This window comes from Homo sapiens, chromosome 10 (genome assembly GCF_000001405.40).
Source record: "Homo sapiens chromosome 10, GRCh38.p14 Primary Assembly".
Taxonomy (NCBI): Eukaryota; Metazoa; Chordata; class Mammalia; order Primates; family Hominidae; genus Homo; species Homo sapiens.
The window spans coordinates 124,450,603-124,463,037 of NC_000010.11; the positions used below are offsets into that span (position 1 = coordinate 124,450,603).

Consider the following 12,435-nt stretch of genomic DNA (forward strand, 5'->3'; position numbering starts at 1 on the left):
CCACTGTCCCCGTTTTAAAGATGAGGAAATCGAGGTTCAAAGGTAAGAAAAGATTTCCCCAGGGTCACTGTGAGTTGGTGACAGAGTCTGGGTTTGGACCTCGGTCTTCTACTGGACCAGTCAGTGCTTTTTTAGTACATCCTGCTGTCTCAGAAACGGAGGGAGAAAATCCCGGACTCTCAGTCTTTTGCTTCCACTCCAAAGCCAAGCCAGAGGCCAGCAAGAGGTTTGGAGAGGTGGTGAGCCCCCACCGGGATTCCAGCCGCTTTGGAAACCTTGGTGGCTTCAGGCACAGAGCCAAGTGAGATGGCTGAGGGTGTCTGCCCTGGTTTGCTGTGACCCGGAGCACAGCCCTCAATGGACAAACGTCAGGCCTTCTCCAGAGTCACAAATTCGATCATTTGCAACAGAAATTGGATCTGAGAATTAGGTTGCATCTCTGACCCCCATTCCCTCTCAGCCCCAGAAGCAGAAGATTCAGAAATGCCTGTCTGGTTTGAATTTAAGGTCCGAGAAGAGAGACAGTTGAAATGGCCCTCATCTGCCCCACCAAGTCCCCTGGGAAAGTGATCACCAGTGGTCGGAGAAGCTTCCACTGGCCACACCAATCCTGAATTTCTTCTTTTGTCTCTTGGAAAGCACACAGCAGTCTGTGAGCACTAAGCATTTGTTTCAGGCAAATTCTGAGGCTTCTCCTAGTGTTTGGCCCAGAACCACCTCTGACTCTGCCGTTCCTTTCTTCTCCGCCCCATAGGGTTTCCAAACAATGACTTGGCAATTAATATTGTCTGAGCAGGTAAGGAGTAGGAAGAGGAGGAGAAACCTTCTCATTAAAGTGCTGGGGGCTGCTAATCCCATCTGTTATTGAAGAGGCATCCTTAGAAGCCAGCTCCTTGTAGCTTTTCTCATTCAAACCTTGCTGCCCCTCCCAGAGGTGGTCACTGTATTCCCTGCGGACTTTAAAGCCTGCGGAAATCAAGCCAGCTCCAGTCCTAAAGTGAAGACGGATTGTGCTTTTAAAGCTCAGGAAAGGAAGTGCCCTTCCCAAGTCCACTGGACCACCTCCCATCGAAGGGAATGTGAAAATCCCAAAGAAAAGATGGCCCTGAAACTAAAAAGTGGCGCCCGACAACCTGGACTGCAAATCACAGAGCCTTCCTGAAATACAGATGGGGTACTTTGTTTTCTGTTTTGATAATGCTTTCTCACCCAGTTCTCGATTTTTTTTTCTAATCTTCCTTTTTGTTTCTCCCCCTTCACCCTTTTGATCCTAGCCGCCCCTTCTACATTTTCCCACCATGTTTACTTTTTTTTTTTTTGAGACAGAGTCTCTCTGTCACCCAGGCTGGAGTGCAGTGGCGCGATCTTGGCTCACTGTGCAACCTCTGCCTCCTGGGTTCAAGCAATTCTCCTGCCTCAGCCTCCCAAGTAGCTGGGATTATAGGTGCGCGCCACTGTGCCCGGCTAATTTTTGTATTATTAGTAGATACAGGTTTTCACCATGTTGGCCAGGCTGGTCTCAAACTCATGATCTCAAGTGATCCGCCCACCTTGGGTTCTCAAAGTGCTGAGATTACAGGCATGAGCCATCGTGCCTGGCCCATGTTTATATTTTTAAATGCTGAGGTTCTCAGGATAGCTAGGAATAGGTTTCCTTAAGTTAGCCCCAGATGGAAGTATGTGGCCTCCCACTGTCCCTCTTATTCATTCTCCTATGAGAAACCTTGAGACTCTTTATTTTCACAGGATGGTGGGCATTCCAGGGGCCACCCTATACCCCAAACCAGAGGGACAAGGGAGGCCCAGACAGCCAAGAGTAACCCAATCCCGGATCATTTCCACTGTACTCCATAGATTACCTCAAAAAATTTTGTTTAAATGATATGAATCATCTTTCCCTTGAGGTTCACAGATGTTAAATATAGGGAAGGAGCCGAAAAAGGAAGAAGCAACAAATTGGAGAGAAAGCCAAGAATGGCAGAGGCCACATTCCTTAAACCTGTGAATCCTTACAAACTCCTTCTCTTAGTGGTTTTCTGTTTTGCTTGCCCCTTATTTTTCAGATTTTTTTTTTTTTTTGAGATAGGGTCTCGCTCTGTTGTCCAGGATGGAGTGCAGTGGCGCGATCTCAGCTCACTGCAGCCTTCAACTCCCAGATTTAAGCAATTCTCATGCCTCAGCCTCCTGAGTAGCTGGCGAGTAGCTGGGATTACAGGCACGTGCCACCATGCCATGCTAATGTTTTCTTTTGTTTTGTTTTGTTTCAGACAGAGTCCTGCTCTGTCTCTCAGGTTGGAGTACAATGGCATGATCTCGGCTCACTGCAACCTCCGCCTTCTGGGGTTAAGCGATTCTCCTGCCTCAGCCTCCCCAGTAGCTGAGATTACAGGTACGCACAACCACACCTGGCTAATTTTTGTATTTTTAGTAGAGACAGAGTTTCACCATGTTGGCCAGGCTGGTCTTGAACTCCTGACCTCATGTGATCCACCAGCCTTGGCCTCCCAAAGTGCTGGGATTACAGGTGTGAGCCACCACGCACGGCTTAAATTTTTTTTTTTTTTTTTTTGATACAGAGTGTCACTCTGTCACCCAGGCTGGAGTGCAGTGGTGTGATCTCAGCTCACTGCAACCTCTGCCTCCTGGGTTCAAGCGATTCTCCTGCCTCAGCCTCCCGAGTAGTTGAGACTACAGGCATACACTCCTGCGCCCAGCTAATTTTTATATTTTTAGTAGAGACAGGGTTTCACCATGTTAGCCAGGCTGGTCTCGAACTACTGACCTTGTGATCCACTTGCCTCGGCCTCCCAAAGTGCTGGGATTACAGGCGTGAGCTACCGTGCCTGGCCTAATTTTTTGTGTTTTTAACAGAGACAGGATTTCACCATGTTGACCAAGCTAGTGTCGAACTCCTAGCCTCAAGTGATCTGCCCGCCTTGGCCTCCCAAAGTGCTGGGATTACAGGCATGAGCCATTGTGCCCGGCCAGATATTTCTGGTCTGTGTGTTCATTGTAGCACAAGGTAATGTGAATGCTCATGCTTAGTACTTGGCTGCAGGCAATAGATGGCACACAAGAAACTTCGCTGGGTCTCCCATCAACACTGAAGGGATAGAAATGCCCTCTCTTACTCATCCAACTTAAAGAGAAACCTGCTAACCAAAGAACAGGATACTTTCTTCAACGTGGGGGATAGTGGAGGAGGAGGTCCTAGGTAATTTTTTTTTCTGGCCACCTGTTTTGTAAAAGACCAGGAGGCAGTGAGCATCCTTTTCAGTACAACTTGGCCATGTGTTTGGCTCACTAACATCCTCACATGTGTATTTATACCCACGCTATTCCTATATAACATATCCAGATCCAGCAAGCCACCTTCCCTCTGTGCATAGAGTTGATTTTTTTTTTTTCAGCCTGGGCATTAAAATTCCGCCTGAGTGCTATCTTTAAATTGCTTTGATGCTAGGTGGGTTCCAACCCTGACCTGTCCTGATAGCAAGTGATGCCTGTAACAAGCTCGGGATCAATATTCATAGCGGGTGTCCTGGGCTGATAACACTATCCAAGACAATGTTCACTATCCGTGCAGACAGCTGAGATATTGCACCATTAGGGATGTTGTGTTAAATAACCTGATCCATTTCTGGGGCTATTTAATGAATTTCACAGTTTAGATAGTATCTTTAAGGAGAAGGCAAAGGCTATTCCGGAGGCACTGATGCAAATCAATGGTGCCAAGCTTCCTAAGGTATTCCACAAACAAAGGTGCCTATAATTCCAGCACAGCCTTGAAGAGCCGCTGAGTGCCATGAATAGTGTTAACAATGGAAAGAATTTGCAGTTTATGCAGAGGGAGTGGGGGGGAGGGGGCAATATTATGAGCCGTGTTAAAGCATTTTAGATAAAATCTTATGTTCCTAAAGTAAAATGCAACTGAAATTCTCCAGGTAAAACCCTGCGTTTTGAGCCAGCCCCCAGGGTAGGATATATGTGCCAAAGAGACAGCTTCATAAGACACAGCTTGATGACAAAGAGGGACACCTCAACTGCCAGACAGCCTGTGGGTAACCCCTTTTCCCAGTACCTCAGCCACCTTCCCCAAGATGTGCTTCTTCTACTCAAATTGGTCTGTAATATGGGAGAGGGTAAGCACTAGGTTTTAGAAGGAAGCCACAGATAGCAGAATCCATTGTTTGTTTACTGGACTCTATCTCCCTTGGTGCTGGAGAGGTCATTTACAATTAAAGGCTAGCATTTACCATTTCCCACCAGAGCTTTGAACTCTGGCTGCCAAGCACAGCAAGTATTCCCCCCGGCAAAAAAAAAAAAAAAAAAAAAACACCTCATAGACTAACTTGTGAAAGCTGAGTTGAAAATATAGCCTTCCCACCTGACCCCAAACCAAAGTTAAAAAAAATCAACTCCCTCATCTTAGGGCATGCTCCCTGCCACTGGTGGGTGCTTGAGCTTAATGGGCAAGGAAAATGGAGACGGGTGGCCGCTGAGGACCACATGCTCACAGAAGTTATGGAGATGCAGAGACTCAGCAGGGACATGGAGAGTCAAAAACAAGTGTGCAGGCTGGACGTGGTGGCTTACATCTGTAATCCCAGCACTTTGGGAGGCCGAGGCGGGCAGAACACCTGAAGTCAGCAGTTCAAGACCACCCTGGTCAACATGGCGAAACCCTGTCTCTACTGAAAATACAAAAATTACCCAGGTGTGGTGGCAGGCGCCTGTAATCCCAGCTACTGGGAAGGCTGAGGCAGGAGAATCACTTGAACCTGGGAGGCGGAGGTTGCAGTGAGCCGAGATCACACCATTGCACTCCAGCCTGGGCAACAAGAATGAAACTCCGTCTCAAAAACAAACAAACAAACAACAAAAACAAGTGCAGAGCAGAGCGGAGAAGCCACGAGAGACAGGCAGACAGGTGGGTTCCAGCTGCTGCCACTGTTGCTGACTTCTTCCTGATGCTGGTTGTTCCATTCCGGGTTCCCTGGGAGCCTCACTGCATCCCTACAATACTATTTCTTCTTGAGGGCTTCCCTGACTTACCCCACGCGGACTGGAGCACTCCTTCCCACATTGTTTCTGGGGCACGCTGCCATCATAGCCCTTGATGGACATCTCTTGGTTTTGCCTGATCTGAGGATCCACTCCCCCTTTTCTGGTGTCTGTAGCTGATTTTGATGAGATCCCCCTGGGCCCCCACCCTTGTATGTGGTAGTGATGGGACTGCCAATCAGGCCCCCCAACCTTCTTCTGGCCGGGAGGTAAGAGTGAGCCCCTGCAGTAGAGTCCTACTGGCCTCTCTCCCGGGAGTATCTGAAGCAGAGTGACACCGCTTCATTGTGGCAGTGGTGCCCAAAACTAAATAATCTGTTATTTCCCACTCTTGACGCTGATGGTTCCAGTACTTGCCCAGGTCTGGTTGTTCAGCATTTCCTTTGATTTTGTAAATTGCCTACACTCTTCCCAACCTTCTCTTCCCCTCTGCATTTTGGAATTCAATTAGCCAGAGTCAAGGAACCCTGACAGGCACAGCCTTTATCACACTGCCTGGCATACAGATTCTGGTCCTTGGATTGTCTTAAAGTCAGGGAGGGCAGAGCGTGCATCCCTGTGCCCACCAGTACCTTGGTGTTTGGTAGGTTGAAGAGTCGAAAGCAATAAATGGTGGCCCAGTAACACAAACCCAAAGCTCCACAGTTTGACTAAGATGGATTGGAAACCCATGAGAGACCATATAGGCTGAAGACAAAAATCGGATCAAGAAATATTTAGGTACGGATAGAGGTTCATAAAGGGTCTGACTCCCATGCTGAGCATCTGTGGAACAAGCTTATGTTTTTATTCAGGTCATCCATGCTGGGTACCATGCTTTTCATAAAGAAAAATGCAGGGGCCAGGCACAGTGGTTCACACCTATAATCTCTGCACTTTGGGAGGCTGAGGCGAGAGGATACTTGAGCCCAGGAGTTTGAGGCTGCAGTGAGCTATGAGTCATGCCACTGCACTCCAGTCTGGGTCATAGTACAAGACCCTGTCTCAGAAAGGAAGGAAGGAAGGAAGGAAGAAAGGAAGGAAGGAAGGAAGGGAGGAAGGGAAGGGAACAGAAAATAAAAATGCAGGCGTAGAACCACCATGAATTTAACCCCGTGTGGTGTTTCTGACACTGGTATACTTGTTGCGGTATCTAGCCTCAAAAAATGGCCACGCCTAATCAACCATGCTGCTTAGTGCTCATGCCCCTGTGTCATCCACTCCCACACTGAGCCTGGCCTGGCCCTGGGTGACCAGTACAACATGGCTGAAGTGACTCTGTGACTTCCAAAGCTAAATCACAGGAAGCCCTGCAGCCTCCACTTTGTTCCCTGGGAACACTTGCCCTGGAGACATTTCCTCTTTGACTCTTGCTGTCATGCTGTGAGATACACAAGCCACATGCAGAGGCCATGTGTAGGACTCCAGAAAATAGCCCACATCAACTGACAGCCATCTTCCAGGTTCCTAGGGCCACCCAGACCTCCTGAATCTAAACCTGTTTTAAAAAGCCTTCCAGGTGATTCTAATGCACATTAAAGTTTGAGAAGCATTTCTTTCTTTCTTTCTTTCTTTTTCTTTCTTTCTTTCTTTCTTTCTTTCTTTCTTTCTTTCTTTCTTTTTCTTTCTTTCTCTCTCTCCCTCTCTCTCTCTCTCTCTCTCTCTCTCTCTCTCCCTCCCTCCCTCCCTTCCTCTCTCTCTCTCTCTCTTTCTTTCTTTCTTTGAGACAGAGTCTCGCTCTGTTGCCCAGGCTGGAGCACAGTGGCGCAATCTTGGCTCACTGCAACCTCTGCCTCCCAGGTTGAAGTGATTCTCCTGCCTCAACCTCCCGAGTAGCTGGGACAATAGGCCTGTGCCGCCACGCCCAGCTAATTTTTACATTTTTAGTAGAGACGATGTTTCCCTGTGTTGGCCAGACTGGTCTCGAACTCCTGACCTCAGGTAATCCGCCCGCCTTGGCCTCCCAAGGTGTGAGCCACTGTGCCCGGCCTGAGAAGCATTTCTGTTATTAATGGTGCTCTGATTTTTTTTTCCACTATAGCCCATCTCAATAAAACAGAAGATTCTTTGGCTCATATGGCCCTCACTTGGTCTGGTCTCACTTTCCAGGGAGATGGGATTTGATAATAAGAAAGGTCTTGGTGACTGGTGGGCACCTGCTACTTTTGCCTATACCATGTTGCTTCCTTATTCCTCTTTCACAGTGCCCTGCTTTTTTGCTTTCTTTTCTCTCTCTTTTTTTTTTTTTAGAGAAGTCTTGCTATATTGCCTAGGCTAGGATACAGTGGCCATTCACAGTTGCAGTTGCAGTCATGTACACTATAGCCTCCAACTCCTAGGTTCAAGTGATCTTCTTTTTTTTTTTTGAGATGGAGTCTCGCTCTGTCGCCCAGGCTGGAGTGCAGTGGCGTGATCTTGGCTCAGTGCAACCTCCGCCTCCCGGGTTCAAGCGATTCTCCTGCCTCAGACTCCTGAGCAGCTGGGATTACAGGCGTGTGCCACCACGCCTGACTAATTTTTGTATTTTTAGTGGAGATGGGGGTTTCACCATGTTGGTCAGGCTGGTCTTGATCTTCTGACCTCGTGATCCACCCGCCTCAGCCTCCCAAAGTGCTGGGATTACAGGCGTGAGCCACCACGCCCAGCTTCAAGTGATCTTCTTGCCCCAGCCTTTGGAGTAGCTGGGACTTCACGTATGTGCTGCCACGTCCGGCTAATGCGCCCTGCTTTTTGCTGGAGGGCTTGTCCTCTCCCTTTCCTTCTGGTCATGGTGGGACTATAGGCAAGTGTCCCACCTCCAGCCCTGGTAAGGGCACCAGTCAGGCTGGAACATCACAGTATCACTTCCATTGGAACACAGACAATGGGGGACACTGACCCAAGAGAGCCAATCAGAGTTCTTTCTGGAACAGCCAGACCAAGTTGAGGAAAAGGATCCTCACCAGGTGGTGTACCGGAGACTCTGTGAGCCCAGAGCTGATAACCAGCCATGCCTGACGCTGTCCATTGCTAGACTATCTGGTTGTGCGAGCCAATAAATTCCTTTAAATTGAAGCCATTTGAAATTTGGCTTCTGTCACTGGCAGCCGAAGAGTCCTGACTATGACAAGCAAATCTGAAAGGATGAGGCATATGTCTAGTATAGCAATAGATGGTTGATAGATTCATAGTTGAGCTGAAATTCAGACATGAGTTGTAGATTTGCTATAACAGGCTGAAAGCTCAGTCAGTGGTGTATGCTTCCTGGCACACTATGGTGTTCATGTGCCACCTGGCTAGCTCTGGCCCAAAAGATGCAAATGAGAGTCCATTGGATCAGGGTTCTGGGAAAGCTTTTGCTTTCTGGGTATAAAGGGTCAGACTCAGCTGTCACATGCCCTTTTTTCTTTTCTTTCCCCTCCTTCCTGCCTGAAATGCAGTCATGATGCCTCGGGTGGAGCAGGAATCTTGCTAGCGTGAGGAGCAGGCCACATGCTGAGAGAGTGGTGGAGCAGAAAGCAGGAGGCAGCCTGATGGTCCTGGGAGCTGTTGTCCCATCCAGGATTTCCTCCCTCTTGGCTTCTTGATATATGAGGAAAAGTAAAATCTGATTTGGTTGGGCAACTATGGCTGGGTTTCTGTTACATGTAGCCAAATGCAACCCTAACATAGACAATGCCCTACACTCATTGCATCCCAAGAAAAGCCTGGAATTTTCAGATCAAGTTTTAGCCTATCAGTGGCCCACACTTAGAGACTTGCCACATTTTTCAGGTGAGGGACCTGGATCCCTGTATTTGTTTCTTGTCACTACTGCAAGAAATTACCATATACTTAGTGGCTTAAAACAACAGATTTATTATTATAGTTCTGGAGGTAAGAAGTCCTAAACTTGAAGTACCAGCAGGGCTGCATTCCTTCTGGAGGCTCTAGGGGAGAATCCAATTCTTTGCCTTTTTTAGCTTCCAGAGGCCACCTGCATTTCTTGGCTCATGGCCCCTTTGTATTCAAGGCCAGTAGCACGGTATCTTCACACCTCTCTCTCTGACCTCTGCTTCTGCTGTCACACCTCCTTCTCTGACTCTGACTCTCTCCTGCTTCCCTCTTTCCCTTATGAGGACTCATGTCATTATACTGGGCCCACCTGGACCATCCAGGATAATCTCCCTACAGGAGCATAGGCTCTGCAAGATCTAAGTCCCTTTTGCCATGTCAGGTAATATATTTAGAGGTTGTGGGGATTGGGAGGTGGACATCTCAAGGGGGCACTATTCTGTCTACTGTAGTCGTAGAAATGAAAAGGGACTTGCCCAAGAGTACCCACAGAGCTGACTGAAAAGAAACAACTATGGGTAGGCTCACACCACTGGCAGAAGCACCCCTTTTCCTCCTCCTTGGCATGAAGCTAAAGCCCAGCCATTCTCCAAGGTCCATTTCAGGCTGCCCCTGCCCAGAAGCCACAGCTGCCCTCCTAGGCCTGCAGAGGTCATCCTCTTGACTGTGTCTGTGTCACTCATTGCCACTTGGCACACATTTGGTCAGCAGTCGTGAAGGTCTTCCATTGTTCTCTGCCCAGTCTTGATCCTGGAAGGCAAGGATCACACCCTAGAACTTTTTTGTGCCCACTGCACAGAGTAGGGTCTCAATACGTGTACGGTTCATGATGTTCCTAGCAGATTCTCCAAACTGACTCACTCAGCCCCTGGAACACTAAAAACTGCATTTCCCAGACTCCTTTGCAGCGTGGGCTAGGTTCCACCAAGCCAGACACAGTGAAAGTGAGTGGGTGGCCACAGGTGGAGGGCACAGTGGTGGATATGTTTTGTTCTTTTGGGGGCAGCTATGCTGGGGGCTGCACTAAGTGATGGGGCAGTGGTCCCAATGGAGTAGTAAAATTAAGTGTTTCTCGTGGCTGCATGGCTCCTGGCTGTGTAGGACTTAGACCCGTCATCTGTAAGCTCCTTCACCTCATGTAAACAAAACCCCTCTAGCTGGAGTGGTGTCTATTGTCTGCGACTAAGAACCCTTATATAAGGTATACTACTCCCCAACCCCATTAGTGGAAATCCCAAAGGGTAGGAACTGTATTTTATTTCACTTGTAAACAGCTCCCCTAGTAAGCATGTCAACAAAATATACACAATTCATTGAACCCCATAACATTTCAACGAATTCCTCATCCTTTCTGTGAATCAAGAGCCTGAAAAGAAATGGTGAAATAATATGATCCTCTCTTCTTTGAAAGCTCAAAGCTATGTTGGACCAGAAGTAAAGTGTTCTCGTTTCTATTTAATAACTTGAAAGGTTCCGAGGGGCCATTGAGGAAACTCCTCCCTTTTAATATCAATGTGTATTTATTGCAAAAATAATGTAGCATCGAGTGGTATTTTATAGCTTATCCAAAAACCTCCTGGGTTTAACGCATTGTGATAGTCCCGTTTTCTTCTCAGCCCAGGTCCTATGCATCCTCATCTATGCAGGGCTGTTATCTGCATATAATTTTTTTTTTTTTTAAGACAAAGTCTTGCTCTGTCGCCCCGGCTGGAGTGCAGTGGTGCAATCTCGGCTCACTGCAACCTCCGCCTCCCAGGTTCAAGCGGTTCTTCCGCCTCAGCCTACCGAGTAGCTGGGACTACAGGCATGCGCCACCACACCTAGGTGATTTTTGTATTTTTAGTAGAGACAGGGGTTTCACCATGTTGACCAGGCTGGTCTCGAACTCCTGATCTCAAGCGATCCACCCGCCTCAGCCTCCCAAAGTGCTGGGATTACAGGCATAAGCCACTACGCCCGGCCTCAATTTTGTATTGTACTTTTTCTTTCTTTCTTTAATAGAGACAGGGTCTCACTATGTTGACTAGGTTGGTCTAGAACTCCTGGGCACAAGCTGTCCGCCCGCTTCTGCCTCCCAAAGTGCTGGGATTGCAGGCGTGAACCACCGCCCCTGGCTACAGGTGCCTTCTTGTCTCAATTTGCCTTTGACCTTTCTTAGGGACTTGTTTTCTGCTTTTCCTGCTCTTTGTCCGCTGATCTCCTGGGAAGAAAGCTTCCGAAAAGGACACCGTTTCAGGGGCGAGTGACGCCGGGGTGCCCAGGCCGCGCCCCAGTTCCGGGTTTGCACCCGGTCTTCTTGCCCTGCCCCGCCCGCGGGACTACAGTTCCCAGGCGCCCCTGCGCGGCCGCGGCGCCGGCGCCGGCGTCGGTTGGGACGCGGAGCTGAGGAGCAGGGCCGGGCGCCATGGCACCGTGGGGCAAGCGGCTGGCTGGCGTGCGCGGGGTGCTGCTTGACATCTCGGGCGTGCTGTACGACAGCGGCGCGGGCGGCGGCACGGCCATCGCCGGCTCGGTGGAGGCGGTGGCCAGGTGAGTGGGCCCCGGGACGCCGCTGGGGCCGCCGAGCTCTAAGCTCAGCCCGCTCCCTGGCTGCCGGCAGGGGGCGGGGCGGCAGGGGGCGGGGCCGCGGCGCAGGCCCCGCCTCGGTCTCCCCCTTCCCACCCCGGTGCGCGCACAGTGCTGACCACGGACGACCCCACTGTTGCCCCCGGCGAGCACCAGGACTCTGCTGGTTAGGGCTGCGCGGTCAGACAGGGCGGCCACCTGGTACGTGCGCTGCTGAGCGCTTGACCTGCGGCCAGTCTGAATTGAGATGTGCTGTAAGCGTAAAATGCATACCGATTAACAAGACTTAGCCGGGCGCGGTGGCTCGCATCTGTGATTCTAGCACTTGCAGAGGCAGAGGAGGGAGGATCGCTTGAGGCTAGGGGGTTGGAGACCACCCTGGGCAACATAGGGAGACCCCGTCTCTGCCAAAAATTTAAAAATTAGCCGGGTGTGGTGGTGCACGCCTGTAGGCCCAGCCACTTGGGAGGCTGAGGCAGGAGGATCGCTTGAGCCCAGGAGGTCAAGGCTACAGTGAGCTGTGATCACCCCACTGTACTCTAGCCTGGACTGCAGAGCGAGACGGTCTCATAAACAAAACCCCCAAAAACACCAGACTTCGTGAGTAAAATGTAAAATAAAAACATGAAAATGGGTTATGTTGTTTGCCTGTTGAAATGATATACTTTTTGTTTGTTTTGTTTTGTTCTTTTCAGATGGAGTCTTGCTCTGTCGCCCAGGCTGGAGTGCAATGGCACGATCTCGGCTCACTGCAACCTCCGCCTCCCGGGTGCAAGTGATTCTCCCCCTTCAGGCTCCCGAGTAGCTGGGATTACAGGCACCCGCCATCATGCCCAGTTACTTTTTTTATTTGTTTTGTTTGAGACGGAGTTTTGCTCTTGTTGCCCAGGCTGGAATGCAGTGGTGCAATCTCTGCTGACTGCAACCGCCGCCTCCCAGGTTCAAGCGATTCTCCTGCCTCAGCCTCCTGAATAGCTGGAATTACAGGCATGTGCCACCACACCCGGCTAATTT

At 49.6% G+C, this 12,435-nt stretch overlaps 1 protein-coding gene across 9 annotated transcripts in view, besides 3 other annotated features; it reads left to right on the top strand.

Annotated features, from left to right (window-relative positions):
* Window positions 302-857: an enhancer, noted in NCBI's record as "NANOG-H3K27ac hESC enhancer chr10:126139473-126140028 (GRCh37/hg19 assembly coordinates)". NCBI's record gives its function as "activates a minimal SCP1, AML or CMV promoter by ChIP-STARR-seq in primed H9 embryonic stem cells {active_cell/tissue: H9 hESC(primed)}" and the evidence as "EXISTENCE:reporter gene assay evidence [ECO:0000049][PMID:30033119]".
* Window positions 858-1,414: an enhancer, noted in NCBI's record as "NANOG-H3K27ac hESC enhancer chr10:126140029-126140585 (GRCh37/hg19 assembly coordinates)". NCBI's record gives its function as "activates a minimal SCP1, AML or CMV promoter by ChIP-STARR-seq in primed H9 embryonic stem cells {active_cell/tissue: H9 hESC(primed)}" and the evidence as "EXISTENCE:reporter gene assay evidence [ECO:0000049][PMID:30033119]".
* Window positions 11,101-11,560: a silencer, noted in NCBI's record as "silent region_2910". NCBI's record gives its function as "represses an Ori minimal core promoter by ATAC-STARR-seq in GM12878 lymphoblastoid cells {active_cell/tissue: GM12878}" and the evidence as "EXISTENCE:reporter gene assay evidence [ECO:0000049][PMID:35858748]".
* LHPP (phospholysine phosphohistidine inorganic pyrophosphate phosphatase) overlaps window positions 11,221-12,435 on the top strand; it is a 152,319-nt gene continuing 151,104 nt past the window's right edge. For all 9 annotated transcript variants that reach the window (XR_001747177.3, XM_005270026.4, NM_022126.4 and 6 more), the window contains exon 1: window positions 11,221-11,385. Coding sequence is in view for 8 of the 9 variants with exons in the window: in XM_005270026.4 (XP_005270083.1) it covers window positions 11,261-11,385 (125 nt within the window). In the remaining variant the exon portion in view is untranslated. The remainder of the gene's footprint in view (window positions 11,386-12,435) is intronic.